Source organism: Homo sapiens, chromosome 3 (assembly GCF_000001405.40).
Source record: "Homo sapiens chromosome 3, GRCh38.p14 Primary Assembly".
NCBI lineage: Eukaryota > Metazoa > Chordata > Mammalia > Primates > Hominidae > Homo > Homo sapiens.
This window is the reverse complement of record NC_000003.12, coordinates 35,231,153-35,249,972: the sequence shown is the minus strand read 5'-3', so window position 1 is coordinate 35,249,972 and position 18,820 is coordinate 35,231,153. Positions and strand designations below refer to the sequence as shown.

At 36.0% G+C, this 18,820-nt stretch overlaps 1 long non-coding RNA gene across 1 annotated transcript in view; it reads left to right on the top strand.

Moving 5' to 3' along the window:
• LOC101928135 (uncharacterized) overlaps positions 1-18,820 on the top strand; it is a 518,229-nt gene that overhangs the window by 144,051 nt on the left and 355,358 nt on the right. The window lies entirely within an intron of this gene.

The following is an 18,820-nucleotide window of genomic DNA, read 5'->3' as shown; positions in this document are numbered from 1 at the left end:
CCTCCTGATCTGCCTGCCTTGGCCTCCCAAAGTGCTAGGATTACAGGTATGAGCCATTGTGCCCTGCCCAACTCTTTTTTTAATGTAAAAAGCTGAACCACTTCTCACTCTTCTCCATTGCTTATATCCTGGTTTGAGGCATTATCATCTTTCACTTGGATTATTGCAATTAAATCCCATGTTGTTTTCCTGCTTCTGCCTTGATCCTTTGCAGTCTATTTTCCTCATAGCAATAATAATGACCTTTTAAATAATAAATTATGCCATGTTATTTCTCTGATAAAAAATCATTCAGTGAAACAGTTTTGTGGTTCCTCTTAAAGTTAAACATACAATTACTTTATGACCCAGCAACTTCACTTCTACATATATATCCAAAGTAATTGAAAATAGTTGTTCCAACAAAAACTATGGATGAATGTTCATGGTAGAAATATTCGCCATAATTATTTCTCAAGACATAAGTCAAAAACAAGAAAAGGTATAATATCTGCAGTCTAAGCAAGAGAAGGAGGGCTCTTACTTAGGTATATACCTGGAAAAATGCTGAAAATTGCTTCTGGTTGGAATGAAGAATCCCATCTAATGTATAAGCAGTTATAATCCAAACCCACCTCAGGTTGTAGACTTGTATTAATCATTTCACATGCAACCTTCTTCTATGTTTTTCTTCCTCTATCTTTTGCCTGCTATGCTGATAAAGACACTATATAAATTCGCCAAGATATTTATATGTTTCTTTGGACAAAATCTGCTTCTTCCATGCTTTGGTATGTATGTCAAAGGTAAGTCAGTAAGTCATTCGTAGACAGGTAATCACCTAGCTCCAAGCTCAGGGAGAATGATGCTGCAGGTACCGACAAGGCATGGGATTTATTAGAAATGGACTCTAGTATTTTCAGGAATCCTCCTTCTATCTAGAAACTTCCCTCTACCTTTAAGACAATTTAATTTGTTTGACTAAATATCTGGAATTTGAAGCTCTAATTTAAAATAACTAGTGTCATTTACACGTGCCCAGCTTCTCCTTGAATTTTTAAAATCTCTATATTAAACAAAATGTTTCAACTCTTGAAGTAGCTCTTGTGTATGGTGGAGCTTATATAACATTCTATATATCAACAGAGCTTTGCTTCAGTCCCAGGCCTGAAGCTGATCTGAATGCTGATCAACACACCACCTATGAGCATTTCATACAGAAAAAAGAGCAGCTAATGTACCTATTGATTTGCAACCACTTATTTTATATATGCATGTGCAGGTCAATTCTTCATTGAAAAGTACACACTGCCTTAATTTGACAGTTTTTCTCTTGCTTTTAAATTACTTCAAAAGAAAGAGAAAAGAAATCTTTAACAAGCTCTTAAGCATCTGAGCTGTATGTACAACAGGCAGATTTTTTATGGATTTAGCTAATTATTGGCTCCTAGAATATACAAAAAACAACAAATAAATTGTTGGAACAAAGGAGCAAAGATACTTTGTCACATAACAATAAGCATCCAATAAATATTTAAATAAATAAAAAATGTAAAGCTGACTTTTGCCATAACAACTAGGCATTCAAAAAACATTGGATGAATGAATAAATGCAAGAATTAATGGAGTATAAAGTTAGTATATTTCTTTTGATCTGAGATCGTTCTGCTGACTTCCTTATTTTCATACATAATAACTATCTCTGTGGCAAAACTTACACTCAGAAGCCAGTAGCAAGTATCTTCATATCCATCAATTCACTAATTTAGCCATTCATTTATTCAATTATATATTTGTTCAACTAATTTAATTGTTGAAAAATGATGTACTGAGCACTGATGGTCCCAAACACTATTTTGAATGCTGGGAATCAAGGAGCATGAAACTAACAATGGTGGTGCAGCATGTCAGCTAATTAAATGAGGGAAAGTATAAACTGTATGAAATCTCACAGCAGGGACATCTAATCCTCACCTGGGGAATCAGGTCAGCCTGTCAGCATCAAGTAACATTTTTAACTTCCATTTGCAAAGTGAGTAGGAGTTAGACAGGTGAGTAAAAAAAGTGTTGGATGGGAAAGGATGTTTCAGACAGAAGAACAGGAAGAATATCACATATTTTGTCACATTGGGTTATTAAAAGGAATTCACTATGGATATAGCACACAACTCCATGAAGGCTCAATGTTTAAACTGGACCTGTTTGGGAGCAAACCAGGGGCTTTACAAACCTTATTAAATCTGGTCTTTATACAGAAGTGTTGGCATTCTGGAAAGAAGAGCATCAATGACTCGCAGTTAGGATTTAAGTCTGTTTGTTATTATTGCTTTTATGGAATATCTGATTTCTTAAGTGCTAGGCCCTCTCTGCCTGCATAAGACTTCCTAAACAGGTTGGTCCCCATTAGTTTCCCTGATCTTCTATGTGGGCTAAATGTAACCTGCCTGAAAATCCATAATCCTCCCGTATCTATCTGGAAACCTAATTCATTACAAAATATTCAGGCTTCTCTGAGATGAGTGAGGTGTGCAGCTTGCAGAGGTTTCAAAAGAAAGTGTACGAGGTAAGAGTCATGTTTTAGTCAATATACTCTCAAGGGAAGGGGTTAAGTATCTATGAGAATTTTCTAGTTAAAAGGTAGAATCTTCAAGGGCATAGAAAAGTATCTGAGAATTGGAGGTAGCATTAATGGCTTTGGGTGGGGCAGGACATTTAGAGTGGTTTGAGTTGATTGTGCAGTGGGGGTGAAATGCTTGGGAGTTTATACCTTGGGCAGTGAATGATGGACAGAGGGATAGACATTTTGTGGTCGATGAGACTCAAATATCTCTTGAAGGAGGGCAATTCACAGTCTGAGACTCCACTCACTCATACTGTAAGAGCTGACTGGAAAAACCCAAAAGCTTCTTCACCCAGAAGAACTAGTTTATAATTGCATCTTGAAAAGAAGCCATATGAAAAAGGTGATGTCTTCTCCTTTTTTACGGTGATATGTGGGCTTGCCAATGACTACACTGTGTAGTCCAAAATTTCCTTAGCATGGTTTTAAAATGTCTTCAGAAACCCTTCCCAACTTAGCTCATTTCAGTTTTTATCTACAAACTATGGTCCATTAAGACAAAACCATTGCATATATTCACAGTAGCGATCAATTTCCCTGCCCTAGACTATTGCACTGGTGGGCTCATGATTCTGATTTGTTTTTTGTAGACTACTTTAAACTCTACCTTCTGTAGGAAACTTTCCCAGTCTACTCTGTGCTTCCACAGAACTTTTGTGTGACATATTGCTTATGGTTGCCTTGTCATCCATATACCTGTTTCTTTCCAACAACCAGTGGTTTCAATTTTAGTTTTAGTTTTCCTGTTTTATCCACAAAGTCCACTTATACAACATAGTCCCAACACAGTCCCAGTAATATTCAATGTTATAAGCTATTTCTTACCCTATCTCAATAACTCAATTGTTTCCACATGCAGGAAACTATATTAGAAACCATGGTAGTAAAACTTACATTATTGAAAGAAAAACCTTGAATTTACTTCACTTTATATAATAGGAAAATTATTAGTAAGCTTTGGTGTTTTGACAAATATCAAGAAAGTCTTGTGATCTGTCTCATAATGTAGTAGGTTCACTGGTTAGAGGCTAAGGATTCCCAGAGTCAGTGCCTTTTTGCTTCGTGTTTGCATGGCTGGAAGCAGTGCCTGACACATTGTAGGAGCTTAGGACATGCTTGCAGAGTGATTCTCTGAATAATGCATGAATTGACTACTTGGTTAATTAACTTAATATTTGTATTTAGCAGTATGCTCAGCAAAGCATTGAACTTCTAGGGAACCTAGTGACATCTAAGTCTCCATCAACAAATGTTCTGAATAATAAGACATGTGGTCTAAATCCCCAAAAACTTGAATTAGGAATCTAAAATACCTCAGGAGGCTGAGGCAGGAAGGTTGCTTGATGCCAGCAGTTCGAGACGAGCCTGGGTAACAGTGAGACCCCATCTCTAAAAATTTTTTTCAAAATTAACCAGGCATGGTGGTCCCTGCCTGCAGTCTCTGTTACTTGGCAGGATGAAGCAGGAGGATCACTTGAGCCCAAGAGTTTGATGCTACCATGAACCATGATTGCACCACTGCACTCCAGCCTGGGCAACAGAGTGAGACTCATCCATCTCAAACATACATACATACATAAATCTGAAATCACAGGTTGCTGAGATGACATGCATGTGTAATATAATGTGTATATAAATCTGCCATGCAGGTATACAAAGCAGAAGCTCCTCTATTTCTTTTGCTACATTTCATTCAGAAAACCATAGTTGTTTAGCACACAACTGCAACTGTCCTGCCCTGGGAGTTCCAGGCAGCATCTGTTTGTATGGAACTGCTACAAATATGTTTGTATGGAAATGCTGCAATGGTATGGTCAAAGGCCATCCTGAGAACTGTGACTACTAGACCACTACGACAAAGGTATTTCAAGAGAAGAATATGTCTTCATTAATAGCAATCCCTTTGGGCTGTTCCAATTAGATCACAGACTCTGACAAAAACCCATTTCACTTCCTTTTAAGTGAGGACATTGTCAGAGAGTGAAAGGAGCTCCTTAAGTCTTTATTGTGATCTTTAAGTTGGTCTTGGTATTAGGCAGTGGGTGGGGCAAGAACAAGGGTTTGGGAGCCTATTACCTGAGTTTGTTGTTCAGCCTCACCACCTCCATGCTGGGTGACACTGGAAATGCTACTTAGAGTTTATGTCATTCTTCTTATTTGTGATGCCTAGATAACAATTCCTGCCCTGGAGGGGTGATGTGAACGGCTGTGATAATGGGCGTGGTGTATCTGCCATGGCAAGTGTTTGATGCAATAGAGCTCTCATTAGCACAGAGGAAGTGTTTTGGTTAAATATAATAGAAAAAATATATAATACATCCCCTTTAAAAAGTTGTGACTTTTCCTCAACAACAGAGGCTTAAAACACTTGAACTGGAGAGTAACTAATGGTAGCATATGCACCCATCTCACAAGTGAAATAGAAGAGGTTTCAAAAGGCTCACCATGTCACTCTCTCAGGGTTAGTGCAGTCACATCTTAGCTTTCCCATATAACAGCAAGTTTCATCGTATACACGAGTTATTCCTTTGAAATATTAAATCATTACTGCTTGTTCTAATCTTTTGCTCCATTTCAAATGTTATGATTCTCATTTTTATGTTAATCAGCATTTATTTGCAGCGATCCAACCAAAAGTTTTCATCTGTTGTTCCTTTTCCTAGTCTTGCTACTTTATAATTTGGGTATTTCCTCTAAATTTCCTTGAAAAAGCTTAGAGCCCAGAGGTAAACTAAAATGCTCATGATTGTCTAACTTGTGAATGCCACTTTCTTACTCATTTTTAGAATTTCTTATGTATAATTCTGCTTTTTCTTTCTCACAGCGTAGCTATGACTCTGTAGTTCTTAGGATACAATGTTTCTCATGCTGCTTATTGATTAGATGGAGAAAAACATCAACTAGTCTTTCTAGCATTGAGAGAATTTAATATAAGAGCAAGGAAAAAAATAGTATATCCTTTCATTATTGCTGCTGTCACACTGTTGTTGTTTTATAGAATTTCAGCTTTTATTTTAGATTCCGGGTTACATGTGCAGGTTTGCTACATGGGTATATTGTGTGATGCGAAGTTTGGGGTATGATTGATCCCATCACCCGGGTAGTGAGCAAACTTGTCAATAGCTAATTTATCAGTCCTTGTCCCCATCCCTCCCTCTCCCCTCTTGCAGTCCCCAGTGTCTAATATTGCCATCTTTATATAAATGAGTAGCTAGTGTTCATCTCCCACTTATAAGTGAGAACATGTATTTGGTTTTCTGTTTCTGCATTAATTCACTTGTAATAATGGCTTCCAGCTGCATCTATGTTGCTGCAAAAGACATAATTTCTTTCTTTTTTATGGTTTTGTAGTATTCCATGGTGTATATGTATCACATTTTCTTTATACAGCCCACCAAGGATGGACAGCTAGGTTAATTCCATGTCTTTGCTATTGTTAATAGTGCTGTGATGAACATATGAGTGCATGTGTCTTTTGGTAGAACAATTTATTTTCTCTTGGATGTATACCCAGTAACGAGATCGATGGGTCAAATGGTAGTTCTGTTTTAAGTTCTTTGAGAAATCTCCAAACTGCTTTCCACGGTGGCTGAATTAATTTACATTTCCACCAATAGCATACAAGCATTCCCGTTTTGCTGCAGCCTCGCTGACAATTTTGTTGTTGTTATTGTTTGTTTGTTTGTTTTACTTTTTTAGTAGTAGCCATTCTGACTGGTGTGAGATAGTATTTCATTGTGGTTTTGATTTGCATTTCTCTAATACTTAGTAATCTTGAGCATTTTTTCATAGGTTTGTTGTCCATTTGTCTGTCTTCTTTTGAAAGTGTTTGTTTATATTGTTTTCCCACTTCTTAATGGGGTTATTTGGCTTTCACTTGTTGAATCGCTTAAGTTCCTCACAGATTCTGGGTATTAGACTTTTTTTGAATGCATAGTTTGTGAATATTTTCTCCCATTCTGTAGATTGCCTGTTTACTCTCTTGTTAGTTTATTTTGCTGTACCAAAGCTCCTTAGTTTAATTACATCCTACTTGTCAAGTGTTCATTTCCTTGCAATTGCTTTTGAGGACTTAGTCATACATTTTTTTCCCAAAGACAGTGTCCAGAATAGTGTTTCCTAGATTTTCTTCTAGGATTTTTATAGTTTGAGATCTTACATTTAAATTTTTAATTCATCTTGAGTTAATTTTTGTATATGGTGAAATGTAAGGTTCTAGTTTCATTCTTCTGCATATGTCTAGCCAGCTTTTGAGTAGGGAGTCCTTTCCCTATTGCTTATTTTTGTTGATTTTGTCAAAGATCAAATAGCAGACTTATTTCTGGGTTCTCTATTCTGTTTCATTGGCTTTTTTTTGAAATGGAATCTTGCTGTGTCACCCAGGTTGGAGTGCAGTGATGTGATATTGGCTCACTGCAGTCTCTTCCTCCTGGGTTCAAGTGATTGTCCTGCTTCAGCCTCCCGAGTAGCTGGGACTACAGGTGTGGGCCACCATGCCCAGCTGGTCTTGAGCTCTGACCTCAAGTGATCCACCCGCCTCAGCCTCCCAAAGTGCTGGGATTACAGTCATGAGCCACTGCACCTGGCTGGCCTGTTTTTATACCAGAACTATGCTGTTTTGGTTACTGCAGACTTATAGTATAGTTTGAAAACTGGCAGTGTGATGCCTCCAGCTTTGTTCTTTTCGCTTAGAATTTCCTTGGCTATTTGGACTCTTTTTTGTTCCGTATGAGTTTAGAATAATTTCTTCTAATTCTGTGAAATATGACATTGGTAATTTGACAGGAATACCATTAAATTTATAGATGGCTTTGGGCAGTATGGCTATTTAAACGATATTGATTCTTATAATCCATAAGTGTGGAATGTTTTTCCACTTGTTTGTGCCATTTAATATTTTTTTCAGCAGTGTTTTGTAGTTCTCCCTGTAGAGACCTTTCAACTCATTGGTTAGATGTATTCCTAGGCATTTTGTGTGTGTGTCCCTATTGTAAATGAGATTGCTTTCATTATTTGGCTCTCAGCTTGAATGCTATTGGTGTATATAAATGCTACTGATCTTTTACATCGATTTAGTATTCTGAAATTTGGTGAAGTTGTTTATCAGTTCTAGGAACTTTTTGGCAGCACCTTTAGGGTTTTCTAGGTATAGAATCATATTATTAGGGAAGAGGTTGTTTGACATTGTTGAACTTCTATCTCATTTAAACTGCAAGATGCCGCATAAGTTCTCCACCTGTAAGAATGACTCTTGAATTCTTGAGAACTCTTATTCTCCTTCTTTTTATAAATATAATTCTTTACTTAGATACTTATAGTTTTGCTTTTATTATTTTTGTCTCTTTGTTGCTTTTGTAAGTTTTCCTGGCTTTAAGTGAATAATAACCACTTAAAAATATTTCAAACAATTCATTAAATGTTTTACTAGTCACAAACAATAAAGCCTTTACACAAAACAGAATTAGTACTGGCCCATACTGAGCCCATTAATCATTTATATAATTTGCTTTATTTTTATCACTCATGATGATCTTTAACCTGATTCCAAGACCATGATTAAACCCCACTTTTTTAATTCACTCTGATTAATTTTGTATGCACAATTGGGTGACTCACCAAATCAGAAATTATCCTGATGTCCAAGTGTTTGACTTACATATTTTCTTTTCAATATCTTTCGTGGATTTGTGATGAAAAAAACTGTACATTCATTGAGCCTGTTTTATTCTCGTTGAAAGCACTCTGCCTATTTCTCATGCTTAATATTTTCCAGGAGTATCAAATGCTACACTTTGCTGATGCTCACCTTCTTGAGCAGAAGTTTCCAATACTTTTCAAGAGCCTGTTATTTCCATATTTCTCAATATGCTAACATTCTTTCATTTTCTAAGAATAAATATTCGTGGATCAGTAAACATGCTGCCTAATCCCCTAAATAACTCAGGGTGATGTGAGTCTTGTAATGACTACCAAGTAAGGAATTCCCTTATCTTCACATTGGCTAGAGCAATATTTTCAACATCTTCATTACTCCCTAATTGTCTATATTTCTTTGCTTCATTTCTATTGTTAAAGGCAGATTTTAAAAATGAGTTCAATAACTCAAACGTTTTAGAGTCATCATTAATTTCATGCCCTTCCTCATTCATTAGTGGACCTATTTTCTTGTGGCTTTCTTTTCCCTCTGGGTCTGTCTGGTTTTTTTTCTTTAATCTTCTCATTCACTTTAACCCTTTAATCATGCTCTAGCAGGACCGTTGTCATGTCTCCCATGGTAACAAGAATAAAATCTCAACTGATACTGTATTTGTTTTCTCATTATTCTTAGAATAAATGTTCTTACATTTTTCTTCTAAAAAATTATTTCAGAACAGTCTGCATTATTACAAGCTGAATTTTAAGTTTTCTTATTCACGGGAAATGTATAGCTAACTTTTTAAAAGAATTGTAAAAATGCTCTAAATGTCTTCTATGGGAAAGCAGCATTAATATCTTTTTTTATTTTATTATTATTATACTTTAAGTTTTAGGGTACATGTGCACAACGTGCAGGTTTGTTACATATGTATACATGTGCCATGTTGGTGTGCTGCACCCACTAACTCGTCATTTAGCATTAGGTATATCTCCTAATGCTATCCCTCCCTCCTTCCCCCACCCCACAACAGTCCCTGGTGTGTGATGTTCCCCTTCCTGTGTCCATGTGTTCTCATTGTTCAGTTTCCACCTATGTGTGAGAACATGCAGTGTTTGGTTTTTTGTCCTTGCGATAGTTTGCTGAGAATGATGGTTTCCAGCTTCAACCATGTCCCTACAAAGGACATGAACTCATCATTTTTTATGGCTACATAGTATTCCATGGTGTATATGTGCCACATTTTCTTAATCCAGTCTATCATTGTTGGACATTTGGGTTGGTTCCAAGTCTTTGCTATTGTGAATAGTGACTTTAATATCTTTAAACTTAAATTTTAAAAGGACTGCCCAGATGCTTAAAAACAACTACTATTTGGGTAGTTGTTTTACTTCACCAAACATTAAATTTCTGCAACTAAGCCCACTGCCCCTGCTGCTGCCCCAGTTCAGACGTAGCCTCATATTATCAGTACATGTTTCTTCAGAATTCAATAAATGCCATAACACCATTTCTTACTCCTCTGTTATATGTGTTGTTTCCTAAACAATAGTTTCTATAATCAATGAATAGTTTTTATAAATATAATTAAATAGTTTTTATAATATATGTTGAATACTGTTTCACTGACTTTCTTTTTTAAAAATTAAAATAATCCACTGACAGGATAAGCTAACTGTTTAGAGTTAAGCAGACAAAAAGACAATTTTTGTTTTACCCCACTTTATGGTTAGCTTTGTGAACTACACAATAGTATAATACCTCCAGCACACACACTTGTACACCCACCGGCAGGCACAGTTCTTTGAAGATGTTCATGACTTTCCATATGTCATCTATGGACAAACTTGTTCAACTTAGTTCAGTTTAATATTTTCAAAGTTTTTTAGTTATGGCGATCTCTCTATGTGTAACTTCTTGTAGAAATATTGTTTCCTAAAACAAACTATTGGAAAAGATGTTTTAGATTATGGTTATAGAATATGTGTGACTGGCTCATACGATTATCCATAAAATTATTAAAGTCTCACTGAAATAGATTTCTATAATAATGAGTTGAAAAATGCAAAGCTGACATAGAAATCCCTCTCCTATTTCAGCTCCCCAACTGTTCCTTCTGGAATTGAATAGGAAGTTAGAGATGACAGGCTGGGTGAGTTTGGAGGTTTGAGAAATTTTTCCTCATCTAAAAAATGGGGAACGTGTACAAAATTATTTGTGAGATCTTTTGGAGCTTTAAATTTGATGTTTCAGTGACCTAACTCTGTGACTGACAGATTAATGAGAAAGGAAAACCACATTTTCTATATACTTTGTCTTTTAATTATTATTTCAGTGTTCAACTACCTAAAAAAACACTGTAAGTTAAAGGAGACAGGCCAAGCAAAATGAAATAGCAACCATAACAAGAGAAGAAACAGTAATATTTATTGAATACCTGCTAGGTACAACACATTCTTCTAAATACAACACATTATTATATCAGTTAAGCTTTACCACACATCCTTCATTTTGGCTGGATGCTAATAATTCCCATATTACAGGTTAACCTCAATCACAAAAAGCCTATGTAAACTGTTCAATATCTTACACACAGAAATGGGGCAATTGGACACAAACCCAGGTCTGGCTAATTTCAGTTCCCTTTCTTTTTCATTTTATTATTCTCGTATTAGCATAGAAACAACTAATTTCAACATGAAGGGAAGAAAATGAAAGGAAAATGATTTTTTAAAAATAAAACATACTAAAGATAATCCACATGTAGGCATCCACTAGTGACCCCTCAAGTTAGACGATGTGGAATATTAAAAACCTTTAATTTAGGATATATTAGCAGAAACTCAAAATTACCAGTAGAAATATTGAGCTGAACACCTGACATATACAAACAATCAGAATATAAGGGCATATTTTAATTTCTTACTTCTTATTTTATAAACAAAAATAAATAGATGTTCTAAAATAGGTTTTTAGACTTTTCTACTAGACATTTGGTATCATGAAGAAACTGTTGCTGCTATCTTACAATAATGTGACCACATTGAACTATTTAAAACCCATCTCCAAAACAAATGTGAAGGTAAAGCTTTCACCTTTAATTGCTTGACATTTATGGAATAAGACAACAAAGTTGTAATGAACCACCCTGACCGTATCATATAATGCAGGGAGGCATCATTAGTTTATTATAACAAGGAATGGGTAGTCAGGCTTTTCCTGAACTGATAAGGTGAAGTCTAATTAGTCATATACCTGTTTTATTTTCCTCAGTAATGAGCATATGCCAAGGAGCTTATTGCAAAAAGGTAGATATTTTAGAAACCAAATAATAATAATAATAATAATAATACATCAAATGCAAGATACAGTTGTTTCAAAATTTCTTCTCTAGGCAACACATTGATTTTCACACCACAGAGCATAATTAGAAGAGTCCTTAATTCTACAGCTTTTCTAATTTTTGAGGTCTAAAAATCTCTCAACCTATATTGCCTTGTATGTGCCTATTTCTTTTCAGTCATGAATATTCATTAATGTAATATGAGCTGCTATTAATTTCTGCTAATATCCAGCAAATGCTATGTATGCAATAGGAACTTAGTAAATATCCAATAATTGGATTTCTCATGAGTTGGTAGGTGGGAAAGTAGGTAGTAGGTATTGCTAGGTTTCAAATTGTCTACATTCTTATAAGTGTCTAATATTCTGCCTCTACAAATAAGGAGATACATTATTAAATTCCTCTTCGCCAGCTCTTTTCTTAGGATGAGTCTAATTCCTTCACCTCTTTCTGACAGGATCTAATTTCTATTCTTTTCAACAGCTCCGCTGACCTCTGTACACTCTCTCCCTGTGCTGCAGAGTTTCACTTGGCTGCTGGTCTCCCAATCTCCATACATTAGAGATGCATTTATACTTTTTTTACAGTGCTCTGAACATAATTACAAAAGCTTTGAATCAAGAATCAAAAAGGAGCGGTTTGATCACATAAAAGCTAATTTCTGAAAACCACCACACACAGAGATTCAAAGTCAAAGGGAGGACAAATTTAAAACTCTTCAGGTAGTCAGGAAAAAAAATATTTTCTAAGCAGACCCAAAGAAAAGTTTACCATGAGCTGCAATTCAAACTCTAGCCTCATCTACCTCTTGTTTTCTAAGCCCATTGAAGTCCTATTATTTGGTCTGCTGAGTTTTTTATTACAAGTAACTAATGTGCCACTTCTATTCAATAACCATCTCCTTTGGTTTATTTTTGCAATTCAAGTATAGATCAAACATTTAATAGTGAAAAAATTTAAAAAGTAATATGGGACAATGTTGGGGGAAATTTAAAAAAAAAGGTATTTAGCATCAAAAAGGAAACAAAGTGCCTTTATTGTTATTCACAAGAATTTTTAATGTAATTCCTGTGATAATCTTGCCTTTGGAGTACAGATTCAATAATAACAGCAGGGCAGGTAACAGTATTCTGTGTTTGCTTCCTTATGTATAGCTTGATATCCTTTTGAACTCCAAACAACAAACTTTTGTACTTTTATTACAGAGAAAATAAACTTTCTGTATGAAACTCTCTCTCACTCCTTCACCTGAAGACTCATACCAGTCCTACAATGCTAATTCTGCTATCACTTCTCATAGAAACCTCTCCCTTGCCTTTTGCTAAGGTCAGAGGCACTGCTTCTGTGTCCAACATAGTCCCATTACCAAAACAAGCCAAATAACATTAGCTTCAATTCTTTCCTTGTCTGTTTCCCCACAGTACTCTGTGACTCTCAAGTACATATACCACATCTCTGGTCCCATCCCCTTAACTCCAGTCTTGCACATAGTAGAAACCAAATGCCTAATTTTTGAGAGAAGGTTATGTCCCCAAATCATACACTGAAAAATATGACACTGGGAACGGTTTGTTGTACATCTATTCCAATGCAATTGTAAAAATTAAAAAGAATAATAATAATAAAGGATAGTATGCAGGAGCCACTTTGAAGAAATACATGTCTAGATTCAAAAATTAAATAAAAAGTACTGTCACTGTTATTCTTAAGCTCAAGCACTGGAAGGATGCCATAGAGGGATATCTAAATTACAGTTGGATAAGGCAAGCTTCTCCCTCCTTGAATTCCTCTATCCATGTTTGCAGGTGAGTGGAAGCCTCCTAAAGGCCACCTGAACTAGCTGCGATGTCTTCCAGCCTTTCCTTTGAGCAACAAATACATATCAAATGCACAAGTATTAGGAACTGTGCTTAATGCTATAGTCATACACCAGTGCATCCCTAGAGTTTTCAGTTTCATGGGAGAGGTAGAATGTGGTACAAACAATTTTAGTGATAATTCAGGACAAAAGTTTGTAGAACATGCAGTAAAGGTATAAAGAAAGACTCAATTTCAATAAGGCCAAAGAGGGAAATTAAGAAGTTACTCATAGAGGGAAAAATAGTTGAGTTGAATTCTGAAACAGGGTCAGTAACAGAAATATAGAAAACAAATTCTTAAGAATGTGGCAGAGGTGTGAGCATATTTAAAACCACTTTGTTGTATACAGAAATTTGAAACAGAAAGTCTAAAACAATTCTGTCCTCCCAAAAGACCAGATGAGCACAGAATTGACAGTGAGGTTCTTCCCCATTCTCTCTTTCATCTTACATTGTGGTGAAGAACTTAGTGCCAATGTTTATCTAAATATGGACATAACTGAATTGTGTGGTGGGTAGAATTTTTTAAGTAGCTCCCCCCAAAGTGTTTCTAACTAATCCACAAAAACTATAGATATGATACAATATCATTCCTGTGAGTATATTGTAATTATATGATACTCTATAGCAAAGTTAAACTTCAGATAAGATTATCTGAGTAGGATTGATTTAATTATATCAATCATTAAAGTGCAGAGCTTTATCTGGCTGAAGGTAGAAAATGTCACAGAGATTTAACATGTGAGAAGGACTTTACACTTTGTTGCTGGTCTGAAGATAGAGGGGTCATGTGAGAAAGAATATGGCTTGCCTAAGGAGTGGAGTGACTCCTCCAGCTGTTAGCTAGCAAGAAAACAAGGACATCAGTCCTACAACCACAATAAATTGAATTCAGCCAAGAATCTGGATGTTTATGGAAGTAAAGTCTTTACTAGAGCATTCATATAAAAGCCCAGACTAGTTGAAATCTTGATATCGGCCCTGTGAAACCCTATGCAGAAAGCCCAGCCCACTCTGCCTGGATTCTGACCCTCAGAATTGTTGGCTACTAAATGGATATTGTTTTTAATCCACTAAGTGTTTGGTAACAGAAAACTAATACTATTTCTGGCTATCTTAATTTTTTTCTAATGAGAATTTGAGAACATACTAAGTGTTCAAAAATGTTGTTGATATTAATGAGAGAGTTGAAGGAATGTAGATACTACTAGTTGCCAATCCAACATCCAATTCTTCTTTCTTAGAAAAATAATTGTGCATTTGTTTAGCTTGGCAGTGTAGCCATCCAAAAGACTTTACCCTGTCCCTCTTACAGCTGAATGACAATGTGACCAAGTTTTCGCCAATTATATTGAAACAAAGTGTTATGTGAATTCTGAGAGTCTTCCTAAAAGTGAAAGAGATGCACTTTTTTTGTCCTTTTCTCCTTCCTGCTGCATGACTGCATAGCTTTCTGTAATGTGATATGATGGCTAAAGCTCTGGGAGCCATTCTGAACTGTAAAGCAATATTGTTATCTATTGATACATTATAAAACACCCCCAAATTTAGTAGTTTAAAAAACAAAAATTTAATTACACCTCCTAATTATGTGGATTAGATGATTCTTCTGTTCCATAGAACATCATTTGAAGTGACTCATTAAAATTTAGTGGACAATAAGGCTGATCTTCAAGAACTGTGACAGCTTATTTTCCTGTCTGGCACTTAGTTGGGAGTGGCTAAAAGCCTGAGCCCAGCAGAGCCTTTCTCTTTCTCTATGTAGCCTCAGAGCCTGTCCAGCTTCTCTCTTCAACAGGCTCATTGGATTTCTTACATGACAGCTGAGAGCTCTGAAAGAAACTGTTTCAAGAAGGAGAAAGAAGAATTTGACAGTACCTTGAGACATGTGCCTAGAAATTGGCACACTGTCGTTTCTACCGTATTTTAGAGAAGAGTACAGAGACCTCATCCCTTGATTTTTTTTTTTTTTTTTTTGAGACAGAGTCTCCCTCTGTTGCCCAGGCTGGAGTAGAGTGGCATGATCTTGGCTCACTGCAACCTCCACCTCTGAGGTTCAAGTGATTCTCCTGCCTCAGCCTCCCAAGTAGCTGTGATTACAGGTGCATGCCACCACACCCGGCTAAATTTTGTATTTTTTGTAGAGACAGGGTTTGGCCATGTTGGCCAGTCTGGTCTCGGACTCATGACCTCAGGAGATCCGCCCACCTCGGCCTCCCAAAGTGCTAGAATTATAGGCGTGAGCCACTGCACCCAGCCAGACCTCATCTCTTAAAGAGAGAAATGCAATGAATTTGTACCATCTTTAATATTCGATAGGTGACCTGAAGATGGCAAAGAAAAGAACTGGAAGGAGCCTGGGTACCTGATGACACACAGCTTGCAAAACAGCCCTAAGTTTCTTACATCCAAATGTATTTTGTTACAGAAAAATAAATCTTCAAATGTCTGCCTGCTTTAAGAATATATAGTTGGAATTATGGTATATGGAGCAGAAGCTACTTCTGAGAACTTCAGTTAGAATTTTATAAGGATGGAGAGACCTGAATCATGGTAATTTACTTAGTATATGCAAACTTTGTATATCAGGGCTTCCCACAGCCTTCTCTCATAACATATCTAGAGAAAACAAATACTCTATTTTATCTTGGAATCGTTCCCCTGCAACTTCCTTCTGGTGGACATGAAGATTTATTTAATTTTGGAATTTATATGCTCTATTCATGTTAGATACCCTTAGTGAGAAGGCATCAAGACTTTTCATATTATTCTAAAAACAAGTTTTCATGGATAACAAAATAAATGAAAGGAAAAGCAAAGATCTTGAAAGAAGAAAAGAAAGTGGAAATTCTAAAATATATATATTCAAATTGTAGAAGTGTTTGCATTGGCAACTGGTACTTCCTATATTTCCTTATAATGTCATGGCTGTTTGTTATATATTTTAAGTTCTCATGATGATGGGCAGAGAAGCTGAAATCAATGCACCAGTAGGAAGGTTTCACTCATTTTTTTTTTGCTTTGTTTTATTTATCACTGCTGTACTTGATCACAATGCATTTCAAAGTAACATTCTGTCACATTCAGTGTCTTTTCTACATACATTCATACCCTTACTAATTCATATTCTTATATATCCCCACTCTCATGCACATCAAGACATGTTATGAAATTCTCCCAATCACATCTTCAGACTATTATAAAATATTTTGAATGCATGCACATGAACTCTCATTCTCTTACATAATATCATATCTCTGATTTCTTGTGTTTATTCAGTCCTTTTCAAACTTGGCTGATAAAATCATACTCTTGCCTAATGATACCTTCATTTATATTCTCATCTGTTGCAGACACACTTTTTGACAAGTTGAGTAAGTTTACTTAAGTTTCTCTATGCCCAATCAATCTCTGTCCTCTCTACACCAGATTAAAATGTCATGTCACATGAGAAGGGAAGAATCAGAGGTAAATGATCTCTGATGACAGTAAAGAACTTATGCTTCGGCCGGGCATGGTGTCTCACACCTGTAATCTCAGCACTTTGGGAGACCGAGGCAGGTGGGTCACCTGTGGTCAGGAGTTTGAGACCAGCCTGGCCAACGTGGTGAAATCCCATCTCTACTAAAAATATAAAAATTAGCCAGGACTGGTGGTACGTCCTTGTAATCCCAGCTACTCAGGAGGCTGAGGCAGGAGAATCACTTGAACCTAGGAGACGGAGGTTGCAGTGAGCTGAGATCGTGCCATTGCACTCCAGCCTGCGCGACAAGAGCGAAATTTCATTTGAAAAAAAAAAAAAAAAAAAAAAAGGAACTTATGCTTCAAGACCCTGGCCTGCATGAATCTCGTTTAAGAATCCAAAATAATAAAACTATAAATATTTTTACTTAGAGAAGCAAATGTGAACCTACAATGGTTACATCACATAAAAGTAGTAGTTCATTAAGAAAAAGAGATCCCTCTCAAATAGAAGTTATGTGGAGATCTTTGAATTGCTTAATGATCCCCTTTGATGAAAAGATTTGAAACATGGGAACATACTGAAAAAATAATAGTTTCTTGCTGATTTGATACAAATACTAACATGAGTGCAGATAACATCAAAAAGTATATGCCACTAAATAAGGACATTGAAAACACATTGGTTATGAGTGTGGTCATTTCTAAGCATATTTATTACACTGCATGAGAAAACTTGAAATGACTTGCAATGTTACAATTTATGTATTAAATAGATTTGATAAAGTCTTTTTGACTATATTTCTAAAAACATGACATTATCCAAAATGGGTCCTAAAGTGGAAGAAAAATTTTCTAAATTTTTATGTCTACTACCACTGTTACTTCCACAACAAATAATAACAACAGATTTTTAAGGAACTGTGGTAGAGAGAAAGTACTGAATTACTTTCCCATTCTTTCTATAGAACAAAGCACAAAACAATTTCTATATGAAAAGACTAACAAATAATCAAAGAATATAGAGCCAAAATATATGGAAAAGCATCATAGAGATATAACAGGCAGTTACTCAGTAATGACAGTATTTTGTGCTCACAAAGTTTATGGTATTCATAACTTTTTAAAAAATTGTATTATTATTATACTTTAAGTTTTAGGGTACATGTGCACAACGTGGAGGTTTGTTACACATGTTGGTGTGCTGCACCCATTAACTCGTCATTTAGCATTAGGTATATCTCCTAATGCTATCCTTCCCACCTCTCCCCACCCCACAACAGTCCCCGGTATGTGATGTTCCCCTTCCTGTGTCCATATGTTCTCATTGTTCAATTCCCACCTATGAGTGAGAACATGCGGTGTTTGGTTTTTTGTCTTTGTGATAGTTTGCTGAGAATGATGGTTTCCAGCTTCATCCATGTCCCTACAAAGGACATGAACTCATCCTTTTTGATGGCTGCATAGTATTCCATGGTGTATATGTGCCACATTTTCTTAATCCAGCCTATCATTGTTGGACATTTGGCTTGGTTCGAAGTCTTTGCTATTGTGAATAGTGCCGCAATAAACATACATGTGCATGTGTCTTTATAGCAGCATGATTTATAATCCTTTGGGTATATACCCAGTAATGGGATGGCTGGGTCAAATGGTATTTCTTGTTGTAGATCCCTGAGGAATCGCCACACTGACTTCCACAATGGTTGAACTAGTTTACAGTCCCACCAACAGTGTAAAAGTGTTGCTGTTTCTCCACATTCTCTCCAGCACCTGTTGTTTCCTGACTTTTTAATGATTACCATTCTAAGTGGTGTGAGATGGTATCTCATTGTGGTTTTGATTTGCATTTCTCTGATGGCCAGTGATGATGAGCATTTTTTCATGTGTTTTTTTGACTGCGTAAATGTCTTCTTTTGAGA